General features: G+C 39.3%; 1 protein-coding gene and 1 pseudogene across 9 annotated transcripts in view, besides 1 other annotated feature; one reads left to right on the top strand and one right to left on the bottom strand.

Annotated features, from left to right (window-relative positions):
- Positions 1 to 15,830, top strand: part of KIF6 (kinesin family member 6) — a 395,419-nt gene that overhangs the window by 157,115 nt on the left and 222,474 nt on the right. Inside the window, exon 11 of one of the 9 annotated variants that reach the window (XM_011514361.3) lies at positions 9,869 to 10,279. The exons of the other annotated variants lie outside the window; for them this stretch is intronic. Coding sequence (XP_011512663.1) covers positions 9,869 to 9,932 — 64 coding nt within the window. The 3' untranslated portion in view covers positions 9,933 to 10,279. Of the gene's footprint in view, positions 1 to 9,868; positions 10,280 to 15,830 lie in introns of those variants that run through there. 9 annotated transcript variants of the gene reach the window in all.
- Positions 12,491 to 13,393: an enhancer, noted in NCBI's record as "H3K4me1 hESC enhancer chr6:39522677-39523579 (GRCh37/hg19 assembly coordinates)". NCBI's record gives its function as "activates a minimal SCP1, AML or CMV promoter by ChIP-STARR-seq in naive H9 embryonic stem cells {active_cell/tissue: H9 hESC(naive)}" and the evidence as "EXISTENCE:reporter gene assay evidence [ECO:0000049][PMID:30033119]".
- Positions 13,724 to 14,474, bottom strand: E2F4P1 (E2F transcription factor 4 pseudogene 1; annotated as a pseudogene).

The following is a 15,830-nucleotide window of genomic DNA, read 5'->3' as shown; positions in this document are numbered from 1 at the left end:
GATCAGAAAGACCTTCCTGGGCCACTTGATCTAGAATATACCTTCCCCCGTCACTCGTTACCCCCTGTATACAGAGTTATTTTCGTTTATAGCAGCAGTGTCCTGTTTAATGTTTCATTGTCCTTTGTCAATCTCTCCCTGCTTTGCTGCATGAGGACCAGGACGTTGTCTGAGTTGTTCAGCACTGTGCCTGCCCCAGAACCTAAAGCAGTACCTAGCACATGGGCTCTCAGTAGTAAATATTTGTTGCATGAATTAGTGAATACTCTGCCTGGCGCTCAGGCCCCCTCTGGCTTCTTTCATGAACCATTCATTTCAAATCACATGGATCTCTACTCAGGGTCCCCAGGACCAGCCTCTGTTGATAGAAATCACTTCTGTGTCCCAGGCCAGGCTCAGTGGCTCACACCTGTAATCCCAGCACTTTGGGAGGCCAAGGCGGGCGGATCACGAGGTCAGGAGATCGAGACCATCCTGGCTAACACAGTGAAACCCCGTCTGTACTAAAAATACAAAAAATTAGCCAGGCGCGGTGGTGGGTGCCTGTAGTCCCAGCTACTCGGGAGGCTGAGGCAGGAGAATGGTGTGAACCCAAGAGGCGGAGCTTGGAGTGAGCCGAGATAGCGCCACTGCACTCCAGCCTGGGCGACAGAGCGAGACTCCGTCTCAAAAAAAAAAAAAAGAAATCACTTCTGTGTCATTGATTTGGTATCCACTGGATGCTAGGCCTTGTGGATTTCAGTTCATGAGGATGAATGACTGAGGAATTACTGGAAATACTCAGAATTTTGTGACAACTATTTTCTAAACTGTTTAGTCACTAAGATCAGGCAGGGAACTTTTATATGAATAGACTGAGAGTTAAGAGGCTTGAATTCTCATCTTGACTCTCCTAGTCTAAGGAGACTAGCTATCTTAAGATGGTCATGCCTTTTCTGTAGTCCTCAATATTTTCATCATGCATGAGCATTTATATCATCTCCATGCATCTGTTACTCATCTTTTGTGTGAGAGTAGTAATGGCACCCACATCACAAGGCTCTTACGAGGATTGATGGGGTAATTCGTGTTATGTACTGAACACAATGCCAGGCCCACAAGCACCCCATCAGTGTTACCTGTTACTATGATTCCTTGATACAATTTTTATTATTGCTGAGGAATCTACTTCATTTATAGAAGTCTTTTCAAGCTTCTCTACTGGAAAACAAAGAAGCAAATCATGTTTTAATGACCCTCTTTAGAACATACACTCATGCATGCACACAGGAAGAAAAAGTGCCCGAAAAGAAAACTATAAAATTGTTACTGGAATTACAAGTGATTTTTTTTGGTTATTTTTACCTGGCTGTATTTACTAAAATTTCTACAGAAAATTAAAGGTCATTCTTAAAAGAATTAATGTCACTTGCTGATTTTACACCTCCAAGTGACAGAAAAACAATGTTTCATTTAATTAATGAACCTTGGAAAAAATGCTTTTCTTACTCTACTTTTATACTAAATTTCACAGCTAATTAAAAACAAATGTTCTCCCTTGGCATATACCAATTTATTGTGCAATATATGTAGTTGGTTTTGAGATCTAAATTACATCTGCTTCTGGAATCTTCAAATTATTTTCATCATTAACATTTGTATGATTTTTGTATATTTGGACTGTAATATTGCATACTGTTAATTAGTCATTTCAAAGTGGTGCTTTTCTTAGACAGTTGATATAAGACTGCTTATCTAAAAGGCTAAACAAAACAAAAACTATAAATTGCCAGAATGGAATGTCCATAAAATGCTTCCAAACTGGAGCTATTTGCTTTGCATCTTACTGTCCACACTCTTACCCATAACAGAGTTCCACATACTCCCTGAATAGGAGATGTTTGCCGAAACCTTTAAGATATTTGGAAATTCAAAAGTAAAGTAGCAGCCTGAATCATAAAAAGAGCTGATGCATAAACATTACATTTTATTTAAAATAAAGTGATGATTTTTTTAAAAATTTGCAAATGTGTGTGTTTATATGATGTAATATATATAAGTGGATAAGTAATATGTACTCATTGTAGACTTTCTAAAAGATACAGACAGACAGGAAAAAGAAAGCAACATGTATATGCACATACTCATATCTGAGTGCATGAGAAACATGCCAGAAGTGAAAGGCAGCCACTTTGGGCTTGAGTGAGGGTGGTGAAGACTTTTTCCCCTAGATGATTTTGCAAGGGACTTGTAAATGTTATGTCCAACATCGAGATGTGGAATCCAGGCCCCTGTTTTCTCTTTCACCCTCTTCTTCAGGATTCATGCCAGGTGGAATTCTCTGCATCTCTTTGTAGAAGTTCAGCAGGGATACTTTATTTTAATACCTTAATGCTTCTTTCAGGTACTGCCTAGTTGTGTTTATTTTGAACTCTCTGTTCTTTCAAAACTGGACATGTCAACGAAACCTCCTGTTTTCCATTTTCTGAATTTAGCATTTCAACATCTGTATAACAGTTGTACTAAAAATACTCAAATGTTTTATGAAATTGTGAATATCACACAGTCTTATAAATGGGCAAGATGAATTGAGATTTGTTGTTATTGTTGATACTGAGAAGGATTTCATTTGTTCACCTGTTTTGTTTTGCTTTGTTTTGAGGTAGGAGGTGGTGCCAAATTTTTGTATTAGTGAAGAACTTAACCTTTGGGTGTATATTCTCATTTATCTCATTTGCTTACAAACCTGTGGGCTAAAGAGAGTTCAGAGAGAACAGTTTGTCTTAGCTTCATACCTGAGACTTGGAAGAGGAGGTATTGAGATTTATCCTCCTGTTTGATTCCCTGGGCTTGCGGAAAATGGAGATTTGGATCTGTCCTGAGGCCTTAATTATCAGTCCTTGAGGATTATTGAGCACCAGCAGTACTTTGCTAGAGCTGTCAAAGAAGCAGAAGAATCATAAAGCCTGGTGCCTGCCTAGAAAGACCATATGAGGAAGCATGGCATCTGCTATTAAGAATAATAAAAATTAAAATTAAGGCAAGTAAATGATCATATACAAAATGAGCAATAAAGATCAGGAGCACAAAGAACTTACTGCAAAATTATCCAAATAACTGTCTGTATAGATCAAGTGTTTAAAAATAAAATGAAAATAAATGACGTTTCGAGAATTGTCCATATGCAATGTCAAAGCAAGCCTACGCTCTCTCAGAACTGCCACCAAATCTAGAATTAGACACTTTGCTTTTATTTTTCAGCTCTCTTCTCAGTACAATATGGATACTTGTCCCTCTGACATTCAGATAAAGATTTGAGAACTTGTAAGAAAAATCCAAAGTTTTCATTTTGTTAAGGAACCCCAGTGTAGGATTTCCTAGTGCTGATAAAGTAGACAATGCTTCCAAATGGAATAAGGATAATTCGTGTTATTCATTGGTCTGTGAAATGGTATTATCTTCGTATTCAGCTAAGCATTGGAATAAATTCTACTTCTTTTAAATTTTACACCTATTAAAAAATGGTAGTTTGGCAGAGCCTTCTAGTTGGGCACAACATAATGGAGCATTGACTCCAAATAGCACATGAATTTGTGTTCGCAGTATACATCCAACTTACAGCAAAAGCACACCAAGATAAAATGTAAGATACCTCATGAAACTATCCCCCATTTCCTCTTCATATTAACCCTAGCTTGAGCATTCACCTTTGCCTCTGGTGTTCACAGGCTCTTTTGTAGAAGCTTGGCTGTATTGCCTGCCTTTATATCCTTATAGGCAAAAAGACAAACATTCCCCAAGACAGCCCAAGGACTGATCTCAGCCTGCCCTGATTGCCTAGCAAATAATTAGTCCTAGTTCTTGAAACCTAACTCTAAGAAGCTAAACTCAGTGATAACTTAAGACTGCATATTTTTCTACTCTATTCCTCAAAGTACTCTTTATTCTCATTCCCATCCTTCAAACCCAATTTCCCCAGTGGTTCCCTCTGTGTTTATCATTAACTGAGCATACTTACGACTTTTGCCACATCCTCAAAAATTTGTCATTATTATGGTCAAGGTAGCTACTGCCTGTTGTATCATTTCCACAATTTCCTGGAGAAATCAGATTTCCCCTTCTTTTTCATGAGCCCACCTCCTGCTATTAGAGCTTCTCAGCTGCTTTGCTCATCAGTGTGCTTTCCAGATCAGTCAACTAGCATGTGTTGGGCAGAGTACAGGACTGTATACTTACTTGTCTATTTAGTCTGAAACCCTGAATTGAAATTGGCAGCCACAAGTTTCCTCTTTTTCCTGCGTGCCACTTTTTCTTATGTTCCCTGATAGTCTAACTTTTCCTGTAAGTTTGGAGAATGCAAGTAACCATCAAGAAACAACTGGTTAATTATCAAAGAAATGCAAATTAAAATGAGGTGCAATTTTTGGCCAACCTTTTTGGTAAAAATGAAAAAGGCGATGAGACCCTGAGTTGGTGAGGGTATAATGAGCTCTTACACAGCTAGTAGAGTGAATGAGGCCAGTGACAGACAGGGAAGCCTGTTCCTGAGGCCTGGGGCAAGTCCTTTGTAAAATTTTTTTCATGTTACCACTTGCTGGGCAGCCCTGAAAAGCATTAATACAAACTCTTTCACTGAGTGTGCTTTCAGGTCCAGCAATTTTACTTCTAGAAATTTGTCCCTAAGGACACAGATACAAAGATATTTATCACAAACTATTTATAATAGAGAATTGGGTTATGGTACATTTATGGAACATAACGCAACAGTTATCCATGTCAATGAAGACATACATATATAAATAATATGCATATATTATCTACATATATATACATGTATCTACATATTGATCTGGGAATATGTCTAAACTATACTGTTAGTTTTATAAAATATTCTGATCTCACTTTTGTGATGAAAAATACACATGTATGTATATGCTATGTACATAGATGATAAATATATGTGTATATATGTGTTTACAAACAAGTCTGGAAAGATAAACGCCTAAAGTTTACAGTATTATCTCTGGGTTCCAGGATGGAGTAATCTTTTGTCTTCTAAATTTTCTTTTCTTTTTGCAGCAGGGCCTCCCTCACTCTATCACCCAGGCTGGAGTGCAGTGGCGCGATCTCACTGAAACCACCACTTCCTGGGTTCAAGCGATTCTTCTGCCTCAGCCTTCCTAGTATCTGGGACTACAGGTGCGCACCCCTGCACCTGGCTTATTTTTGTATTTTTGGTAGAGATGGTGTTTCACCATATTGGCCAGGCTGGTCTCGAACTCCTGACCTCAAGTGACCTGCCCACCTTGCCCTCCCAAAGTGCTAGGATTACAACAGGTGTGAGCCACCACACCCAGCCTTTCTTCTCTATTTTCTAAATACATTTTGCAATGAACATGCATTACTTTATGATCAGGCAAAATAAAGACATTTAAAATTATGTTAAAGTACAGACATGAAATATTCTCTACCTCATAGTGTTTTTCATGTTATAATCAAATCATTCAGCAAATGTTCATAATTATGGTATAAATAAATGCCATTTATTGAGCATTTGCCAGTAGGCATTGGATTAGACATTTTATATTAGACTTTTTATATATGTAGTCTAATATAATTTTCCCAGTAACCTCATGAGGCAAATAACATTCAGCTAACTAGATGCATAGTCAGAATTTGAATCCTGTTTGGTCTGTCTCAAGATCTGCTCTTTTGTGACCCCTGAGCCATAAAGGTGTGAGGTTTACAGTGGTGACTTAAACTTAAATCCTTCTTCTAAGGAGTTTATGTGGCAAAATGCAAGTGGTATTCTAGAATTGGTGTGCGTGGTTCGGTATCAAAAACTAAGGCCTATCTGGAATGCTGTATTTTCTTCACTGTTGTTCCCTCATTCTGGGTATGTCTTATAGAAATGATATTTTCTGGGATATCCAGTAGGAGGCAAGAAAAGGACTCATGTCTCCTCTGGTAGGAAAACGTATCCCCCTTTTCATTCTAAAGACTTGCTTCTACTAAGACAGAGAATAGGTCCATAAAGTAGATATCCACCACTGTCTTTGACTGATTTTTGGTGTGTTAGAAGTATATTAACCAGTGCTTGTTTTAATATCAGACAGTTTATGTAGAAGTAACCACAGCTGATAAAACTCATGAGTTCATGCCAGTAATGAAATTCCTCACAGTTCAAGTAATCATGGGGCCACTAACTTATGAGGTTGTTACTAAGAAACACAGGACAGAGCCTAATTTTTCTTATTAGCCACCCTTTGGGTCAAATGTCTGACTTTCCCAAAGTTTGTTGCTTCATTATTCATTGTCATCAGCCAAAGAAGAATAGCAGATACATAGGAGACTTCTTGTTTCGGTCAGTATCACTTATTTCACAGAAACATTTCTCACGTGGCATTCATTGAGCAGTTACACAACTAGAAGCTCAGATGGCTGGTAAGAAGCCCTGAGACCACTTCATGCCAAACCTTGTAAACACAGGTTCCTGTCTGGGGACTCCCTGGGTAACCCTGTCCTGCCCATGGCTTCCCTAGGCACATTTCAAAACTTTCTTGGCTGAGCTGGGCTTTCAGCCTCCAAAGCATCATGTTTCCTTGCTGAGTTAGGAAAGCAAAGGTTTCACAATGTTTGTGCATAAAAGATTTGAGTTGGCCAGGTGCGGCGGCTCACACCTGTAATCTCAGCACTTTGGGAGCCAAGGCAGGCGGATCACTTGAGGTCAGGAGTTCAAGACCAGCCTGGCCAACATGATGAAACCCCATCTTTACTGAAAATACAAAAAAAAAAATTAACCGGGCGTGGTGACCTGTGCTTATAATCCCAGCTACTCAAGATGCTTAGGCAGGAGAATCTCTTGAACCCAGAAGGCGGAGGTTGCAGTGAGCCGAGATCATACCAACGCACTCCAGCCTGGGTGAGAGAGTGAGACTCCATCTCAAAAAAAAAAAATGGTTTGAGTTTAATATTCTCCTTTTAACATTCTCAGTTTTCTTTTCTTGAAAAACACTTTATGACTTAAACTCACTTTCATAAATATTCAATGTAATCTAGATTTGTAATAATTTAGTGTGTAGGACTATTTTTAGCTGCCAATTCTCTACTAGTGTAGGATTTCTTGTGACTCTTGCTTAGGTACTTTTTCTTTCATGGTCTGGTTCTGCCTTTTCTGACTCAGGTGCATGCTGTGCACTCATACTGGCCATGCTTTCTGGTTTGATGCTGATCCTTGCTTATATTGCAAAGGCAGATTATCTGCATAGTCCATAAGTGCCCCCAGTCAGCCTTCCATAATGCAGAGACTTCCTACTGCAATTACATAATCTCAGGAGTGTATGCAACAGTATTTTCATTGCTTTAGCTATTTCTACTCCTGTTTGCTACTGCTCAGGTTAGTACAAAGCACAAAATTTTAGAGAGTCTGTCTTGAATCAGAAAATGCTCAGCCAATGACTTCTGCAAAATGCCCCTAAAAAGGCTATTTTCTGCAGAGAACACAGAAAAGGTACTTACTTAGCCCACAACATTGGCAGCAAACAAAATGAGCTGGGATGGAAGGGTGGGGTTGCAAAGATGTATTAATGACAGATTCTGGCTTCAGAGACCTTCAATCTTGTAAGTGAGATAAGTATGTGAATATCTATAATATAAAGTCAAAATTCTACCTGTCACAAGAGAAGTGCCGGGGTAATTGCGGGGAATAGAAATTACTTTTGACTGGGAAGAACAGGGATGTGCAGACTCGTGAATCAAGACAAGATTTAGAAAAGCAAAGCTGGACAGGGAGAACATTTCAGATAGAGGAATCAATATGAGCAAAGCCGTAAGTGTGGCTTCCTTATTTTAAAGATGCGTAAACAGATCCAGAGAAGTGATGTGACTTACAAAGATTTCTATCAAGTTGGATTCTTGCCTGAGAAAATCAGTCTTCACAAATTCTGGCCCCCTAAGGGTTCTAAACAGTTTTATAGCTCTCTGAATTATTAGCTTTAAAATCAATTGAAAATGTAGTATATTATTAGTGGGGAAACATTTAGATGCTGTGGGCAATGCTTGCACTACGTTTTATTCTTTCAGAATAAGAGCAGCAGCACTGGGCCTAACTTCAATTTATTACTGGTAAATGAGTTAATGACTAAGAGCAGTTGTTGAGGCCTTTCTTCATGCCTGGGTCCACACATCCCAGCAGTGAGCACCCACCGGTCAGCTCCAAGCTGGAATGCCTGCAGGTTTTCTGGCTTTCAGCTTAGGGTGGCCAGATTTAGCAACTAAAAATACAAGATGCCTCATTAAATTTGAATTTCAAGTAAATAACAAATAATGTTTTGTATAAATATGTCTGGTGCAATATTTGCAACCCTATTTTAGCTTTGTTTTATATGATCAGAGTTTATATTTTTATTTTCATAATTTGATGAATAGTTTTGCCTTAAAAACAGTTAGTTAGTTGATATTTGCTGTTATACCTTTTTTTTTTTTTAAAGTACCACTTAACACAACCTCAAAGGTTTTCAAAGGCCAAAATCCAAGGGAAGTTAAGGTGGATAGACTTGGATGTGTTTTATTCATCTTTATATAACCAACACCTGGTTGACAATAGGCAGTCAATAAACGCTCTGAATAAATGTAAATGAGATAGCATATTATTGATTTTTTATTCCCTGTCTTGTTAGACTCTCCCTATATGCAATGGCAAATTTAAGCAAATTTAATTCCTCTTTGCAATCTCTACCTGGCCATCTCAGCTCATTTTTACTGATAATGTGGGCTGAGGAAGCATTATCATATTTACTGATAATGTGGGCTGAGGAAGCACCTTTTCTGTGTTCTTTGTGGAAAATAGTCATTTTAGGGACATGTTGCAGAAGTCACGTAATTCAAATATAGTCCTTTTCTAAAATGTCCCAGTGGTTGAGAATTGAGAAACATCCTGCATCATGATCAGTATTTACCAAATGATTAATTCACACCACCTGAAGAGGGGAGGCCCAAGTAATTGGGCAGTTTTAAAAAAAAAATTTAGCAGATTATCTGCTAACTTAGTCCTGAATTCATATCCCTTGACTCCTAGGCTCCTTCTTACCAGCTTCTAATAATGGCTGTCTATAAAGCAATAACCTAAACTTTGTGGATTAAATATCCCAGAGGTCATTAATGGCTCCCTTGCATTTTATAAGAAATCAGATCTCTAAAATCATTCATGAAATATAATTCACTATAGATGAAATTTCTCCACTTTGGTACAAAGTGTTTTTGGTCCTGACACTACATTTTGAAGATATTAAAACCAAAACTAAAAGCATGGTCTACAGCTTGTATTAATTATCCTTGGGTAGTTTATGGAAGCATTTGAGTTCTTAAGAAATAGTTATCTCATATGATTAAAAAGGCCTGTCTCCATCTCAGGGCTGTTTCTGTATTTTAATGATTATTTTAGTCTCCTAAAGTTTAATTAAGTGTTTTGGGTTCTAATAGGCCAAATGAATGAAAAGCAAAAGCAAATTTAAAAAGGATGAGGCATAAATGGCAATTCCATTTGTTGGACTATGGCTGATATGTTGGATTCTTTTGGCCTAGACAGCTCTTTCATCAGAAGTCCAAGTACTTGCTTCTAAATTAGAAAGTTTTGAGTGTGAAAACATGAACATACTGTTTTATTCTTCCAGTTGTTTAATGCTTTCTCAGTGTTAATGTTCCTTGCTCTTTGGGTTTTGTGAGCTCCAGGAAATTCTTTAAAACAAGAAATGGGACCCTTCATCACAACCAAGAATATTTGTCTTTCTCTCTTGCTTTCCCCAGTATGCTTTTCACAGAAAATCTTTTTGTATGTGTAGAGCTGGATATTTTTAAGACTTCCTGAAACAAATGTTTATTCTGATTACAGTTTTATATGGGTTCTACCACTTAAAGAAAACCCACAGTGTGAAAATGTGCACTTATGGAAATAATAAATTACATCAATCCCTAACACCTGGTTCCTGATAGCCTGCACAAAGGATGGATAAACAAATGCAGAAATAGTCACCAACCACTGTAAGCAGGACCATAAAATAAGTAATTAGATCATATCAACAAATCAAACCCGTCTGGAAGCAACAGAAGGAACAGCTTTGGGTTTTCACTGTGGAGTTCATTTCAAGAACCTAACAGCAAGTATGGTATATCTCTCTCCTATAGCTTAAGGAAAGTAACTTGAATAGTTATAAATTATATGTTTTTATAATTTATAATATATTTTAGAATTTTACCTTTTGAGTTTTTTAAACTTTGCTCTGAGAGTTGTGAGAGTTGTAAGAGTTTTATGATTTTTATTTTGTGAACAATTCGCATTCATTGTACAAAAGTGATAACGGGCAAAAAAAAAAGGGGGATAGAAATCACTTGTGATTTCACCAAAGATAACAAGTATTATTACTGGTTGTAATCCTTCAAAATTTTTAATGAATACATATAAATATATATTTTAATAAAAATGGACTCATCCTTTATTTGCTGTTTTTTAACTTGTGTTTTTCATTTAATTGTGACGTCTTTCTATATCTGTATATGTGTACATCTCCAACAGAGGTTCTATGGGCTTTCTATACAAAAGTTCATTTTTTGACTTCTGAGGATTTGTGGACCCCTCCGTCCAAAAAAAATATATACAAAATTTTGTTGGTTGTCTCTGTATATGTATTTTTTTCTGGAAAACAAAACTGCAATGGGACTTTTATTAGGTTTACTTTTTTATTGTTAAATTCAAGGAGAGATTACAATCCTGCATCTTCCCATTCAGGAACATACTAAAACTCCCAGTATGTTCTTGTCCTCTTCATTTGCTCTCTAAATTTGCACTTTTCCTTTTTGTAGGTCCTGCATCATTGTTTTAACAATTTCATGGTCATTTTCTTTTAAACACTTAAGTTTTCAATACTCTTTATCAGATTTTATTGCATCCTAAGATCTGTCTTTGCCTTGTAAACCCATCTTCAATTAATACAGAACTCAATGATAATGTATGATTCAATTTACATACACTTGCTTTAGATTTAATATTACATGAACACGTTTCCAGCTATATACTGTTTTCCATATGAAAGGATAAAATACATTATTTTTTATCAAATGGAAACACACCCACAAGGATTTACTTTGCATTTTTACATAACAAAATCCTTTTAATATGTCTTTTAAAACTTTTACAAGTTTTCCGTTAATTTTATATCTATGTATATAATCATATACATATATATGTGCACATATATATGTGCATATGTATGTAGGTTCTGCATTTTCATATATAAACCAAAGCTGTTATTTAAAAATTTCAGCTAAAGAAACAGCTGAAAAAAATGTATATTTCTAAACTTCAATGTTGTCTACAAATTTAATTTCATACAAGACAGAACCATAGAAAAAGAAGTTCAGAGATTTGGAGCAAAGGATGGGTAAAGCTTCCACTACTCCATCAAATTAATGAACTGTCAGGAAACTCCCTAGTTTGGAAACTTTAACCATGGAGATAAATAGCTTTGGTAGGGCTAGCCCACTTCCAACTGGCCCTTATTCTCCCAAATTTCCCAATAAACTTCTTTCTCAAAGGTGTGCTCTAGTTTTATCCACTTGAGGCCTGTCTTTCTCTCCACTCCTTCCCACCTTTCCCACCTTCCTAACCTTGTTCTCCCACCGGCCGTCTTGCCTCTCATTCCTTGATCCTCAGACTTGATCTCTGGCCCCTGTTCTGGTCAGAGGGGCTGCTTTGGTGGCTTCTCAACAGTCTCAGATTTGCCTCTTTGCCCAGTCCTTTCCCTAGGTAGCTATCTCTCTACTACACTCTTTTGTCAGCTTCGAAGCCAGTTTAACTTCTCTTTCACAGCTCATTCAGCCTTCGTCATGATGATAGGAGGCCTCTTCTATTTTCTAAAACCTTGTTTCTGTTGACTGTCATTTCCCCCTTCCTGAATGTGGCTTATCTTCCACATTTTCCTGCTGCTAGATCTCCTGCTCACTGACTCCCTTCTCCACTCCCACCTCACCACCATTCTCTTTCCTGTAAGTCAGTTTCTTATTTATTATAGACTTATGTAGATGAGTGTACTTGTGTTAACATTAAACACAATCAACAGTGTTTGCCTACAGAAAAAAGAAGTTCAAAAAGTAAATGTAGAATTTAAAGAGGGAGTTATTAGTATCTATGGATTGATTAATTTATCTAATTTTCTTCTCTCTTGTTTTTTAGCCATAGGCATGATCTTTACTCACTTGGGCATGTACAAATATTACAATTTCCTTTTGCTGCAAAAAGTATAAAAATAATCTTTATGTAAGAATCCATTCATTACTATAAATCTTCTTTTTTTTTTTTTTTTTTTTTGAGACAGCGTCTCACTCTGTCGCCCAGGCTGGAGTGCAGTGGGGTGATCTTGGCTGACCGCAATCTCTGCCTCCCAGGCTCAAGTGATTCTCCTGCCTCAGCTTCCCGAGTAACTGGGATTACAGGCATGCACCGCTACCACCTGGTTAATTTTTGTATTTTTAGTAGAGACGGGGTTTCAGCATGTTGGCCAGGCTGGTCTCAAACACCTGACCTCAAATGATCCACCTGCCTCAGCCTCCCAAAGTGCTGGGATTACAGGTATGAGCCACTGCACCCGGCCTCATTACTGTAAATCTTTCTAACTCTCTGCAAATGGCTCTAAATAAAGGTAAATGAATAAATGGAAATGAGTGGGAGGCTATGGGACCGTGGGAGGTTAGGCCAATCCTCAGGGACTGAGCCACCCAGAGTCCTAGCTAGAGACCTCTGTTCCATTCTGTTAGCACCCTCCCCCACCCCTACTCCTACCCCCTACAAGTACACGGGGCTGAGGGCCCAGCAGGGTAGCATACACAAGAGGTCCAGGAGGAGCCGTAAGGCCAGAGGGTGGGGGGCAGCAAAAGACACTGGGGTGATGCTGGCCAGCATCCAGTTCCCCTGCCATATGGGTATAGGGGGAGGGGCATGGCTGGAGCAGGACATTGGGCTGGCCGGGCTGCCTTGGGAGGTGGAATGTGGGTCCTAGGTTCTGTGCCACTAGGTGTCAGCCAAACTGGGCTTGGGGAGGGCTCCAGGAGGACATGAGGTGGGGAAAGCCCCAGAAAAGGAGAGGCAAACACTTTGGCTTCATGGTGCAGGGGGCTGGAGCTTTCCCCTGATCTCTAAGACAGTCCAGGTGCTGGTGCAGGAGTGGGATTTGTGGCCAGAACTGTGCAGTGAAGGGGGGCGGGGAGAAGTCCAGAGCCTGTGGCTCTCAAGCTGTGTAGTGATGGGGTAGGGGTTGGTCCCCAGGCAGCCTCCAGGTCAGACAGTCTGTGTCTCAGCCACACAGGACATGTCCCTGTCAGTCAGAGGCTGAGAATAGACACATCAAAGAGGTCACAGACACCCTTACTCTCATCCAGGTTGTAGGTGTAACCATGATCTCATGATCTTGGCAGATGGAGAAAGATGGAGGAGGAGGGAGAATATTTCTGAGAACATCAATGCCTCCAGCAGCTCTGAGCTCATGTGTTCTTGTGTGAGATCCAAGAGTGGCAGCTCTTCGGGGAGTTCCAGAATGCCTGTAGGGTCTGCCTTGAGGGGTTCAAAGGAGATAGCGGGGTTGGGTTCTGATGCATTGGTATCATTGCTGCAGCTGCTGCTATCCAGCAGGAAAGAAGACTGCAGGGGGCCAGTGTCTCATGCTGCCGGCCCAGTGGGAGTGAGCTCAGCTCACCACTGGGCTCCGGAGCTGTCAGGGTCAGAGGTAAGGGGTGGTCAACTGAGTCCTACATGCATGTGAGGTTTCCTGGAGATGGAACAGGGAAGGCTTGGGCAGAGATGGAGGGCCAGAGACAGCAGGTGGGCTCTGGAGGGTGACGGCATAGACACAGCCACAGGTGGTGAGCTCCATGCCTCCTTGTTCACCAGCCTTGAAGGGGCCAGTCAGGCTGTTCAGGTGAATCTCTTACTGTTGCCCACTGGGGACTTCTGGGATGGGTGCCTGTGGGCTGCTACCAGACAGGGTCTGTGTGGCCAGTATGGTAGGAGGGTGTCTCCAGCAAAGCCTCTACCCATGTCCTCATGAGTCACATAGGCCAAGCAGCTATGATGTTCCAGATGTTCTGCTTCCCCCACACCTTGTGCTGGTCCGGTTTTTGCTCTTGCTTCTGCGGTTCCTCGATCTCTGCCTTGAGCTCAGTCAGCTTGTCTGCAATCTCCAGCCCTATTGCAGCCAGGCCCCATGCCTTTCCACTGATGCTGTTCTTGGATATTTTTTCTCCATTAGCCCTATGCCTTCCAATACATTGGTAATGCTGTAAACCTGCGGTTTCTGGCACACAGATAGGATGTCAGCTGCCAGCTTGAGGTCAAGCACGCTGTCCTTGGCCTCCTACAGAAGTGGTGGGAGCTTGGTGGTGAGAGTCTCAAATACTTCTCGTATCCCACTTAAGGTCCCCAGGGGCAGCAGTGCCTGTGGCCCAGCCTCTGCTTCTCCTCAGCCAGGCCAGCTATTTTCATCTCTTATTTACATTTGTTCTAGACTCCTGAGCCCGTCTCTACCTACTGAATTTAAAATGTTTAGTCATAAGACATATATACCTTTAAGTAAATTGGATATATGAAAATCTGGATTGACAAAAACAAAATCAATCGTATAACTTTTCAAAACCCTTCATCATTGCATTTAAAGGACCTTGTAAAATATGCCCTACTGTCTTTAAAGTTGTCTTAGTTTATTTAAAAATTATTTCAAAATAGTTTTTGAAATTCTGTAAACAGAAGTACCTGGCCATGAATGCATACATGCACCTATAAATAGGCCTTATCTTCACCATTAAAAAGGCAAACCAGTCTGGATTTTAATTTTGATTTTTCGCATTTGCTATTTCAAATCACTAAAAGTATCAAGAAGTTGTGCATTTCTGCATTTGAGGTACTACATGACTGTGCTTTTGTTGAGGTGAAGGAAATATGCATTACTAAGATGAATTTACCCTACAGAAGGAAAACTCTATAGGAATTTCCTCTGCATCACCAAAACCATGAACTTTCTGGCCCCCTACTGTTATTTAAAAAAAGAGCTCATTCCAACAGAGTTGCTGACATTGAACTCAATTCCTTGCATGTAAGGGTCCATGTCTTTCACTAACTGGTTAGGGCTAGGGGAGCATATAATGTATATAATACCTGTCACAGACCAGGAAACTGCAAAAGGAAAAACTCTTGAAGTGACTACTTTTAAGTCAATTGGAATTGATTCTTTCAGCAGAATCTCAGAAAAAGCAAACATGAAACTAATGACCCTGAAAAATTTTTGTATAGTTTCCTTTGGTCATAGTCCTATTGGCACAATCTCAGCCTTCAGCTTTTCATGTCCTTGGTGGATTGTGTAGTTATGTAGTTAATCATAATTATGAATTTATTGTTATCTGAACTTTCCTTTTGTGCATTACCTGCTATCTCAATACTGTATGTTTTAAAGGGCCACATCCCAAAAAGAACCCCATCCTTTGCCCCCTACCATTTCAGCCTGTTAAAAACTCTTTTTTTTAATATGGCAGACTAGTTACTATTTATTTGATGATCTCATTATGTTTATTTGATATTCTCATTAACTATGTTGTTTGCATCTTTCCTGGTTAAAAGTTCACAGGAACATTCTAAATTGAAAATACAAATATAGTATGTCAGAGATTATGGCATGTGGAAAGCACTTTTCTGAATTAACTGAGAGTCTTTGTAGTATGAATGCAAAGAGTGGGGATTCTTGAGTCAAAAGAATTGTTTTCAAATCTCAGTGTTTCAATTTCCTACCTTAGTGACAATATGCAAGTTACTGAAC

This window comes from Homo sapiens, chromosome 6 (genome assembly GCF_000001405.40).
Source record: "Homo sapiens chromosome 6, GRCh38.p14 Primary Assembly".
In the NCBI taxonomy this organism is placed as follows: Eukaryota; Metazoa; Chordata; class Mammalia; order Primates; family Hominidae; genus Homo; species Homo sapiens.
The sequence above is the reverse complement of the archived record's forward strand: the minus strand, read 5'-3'. Positions and strand labels throughout refer to the sequence as shown.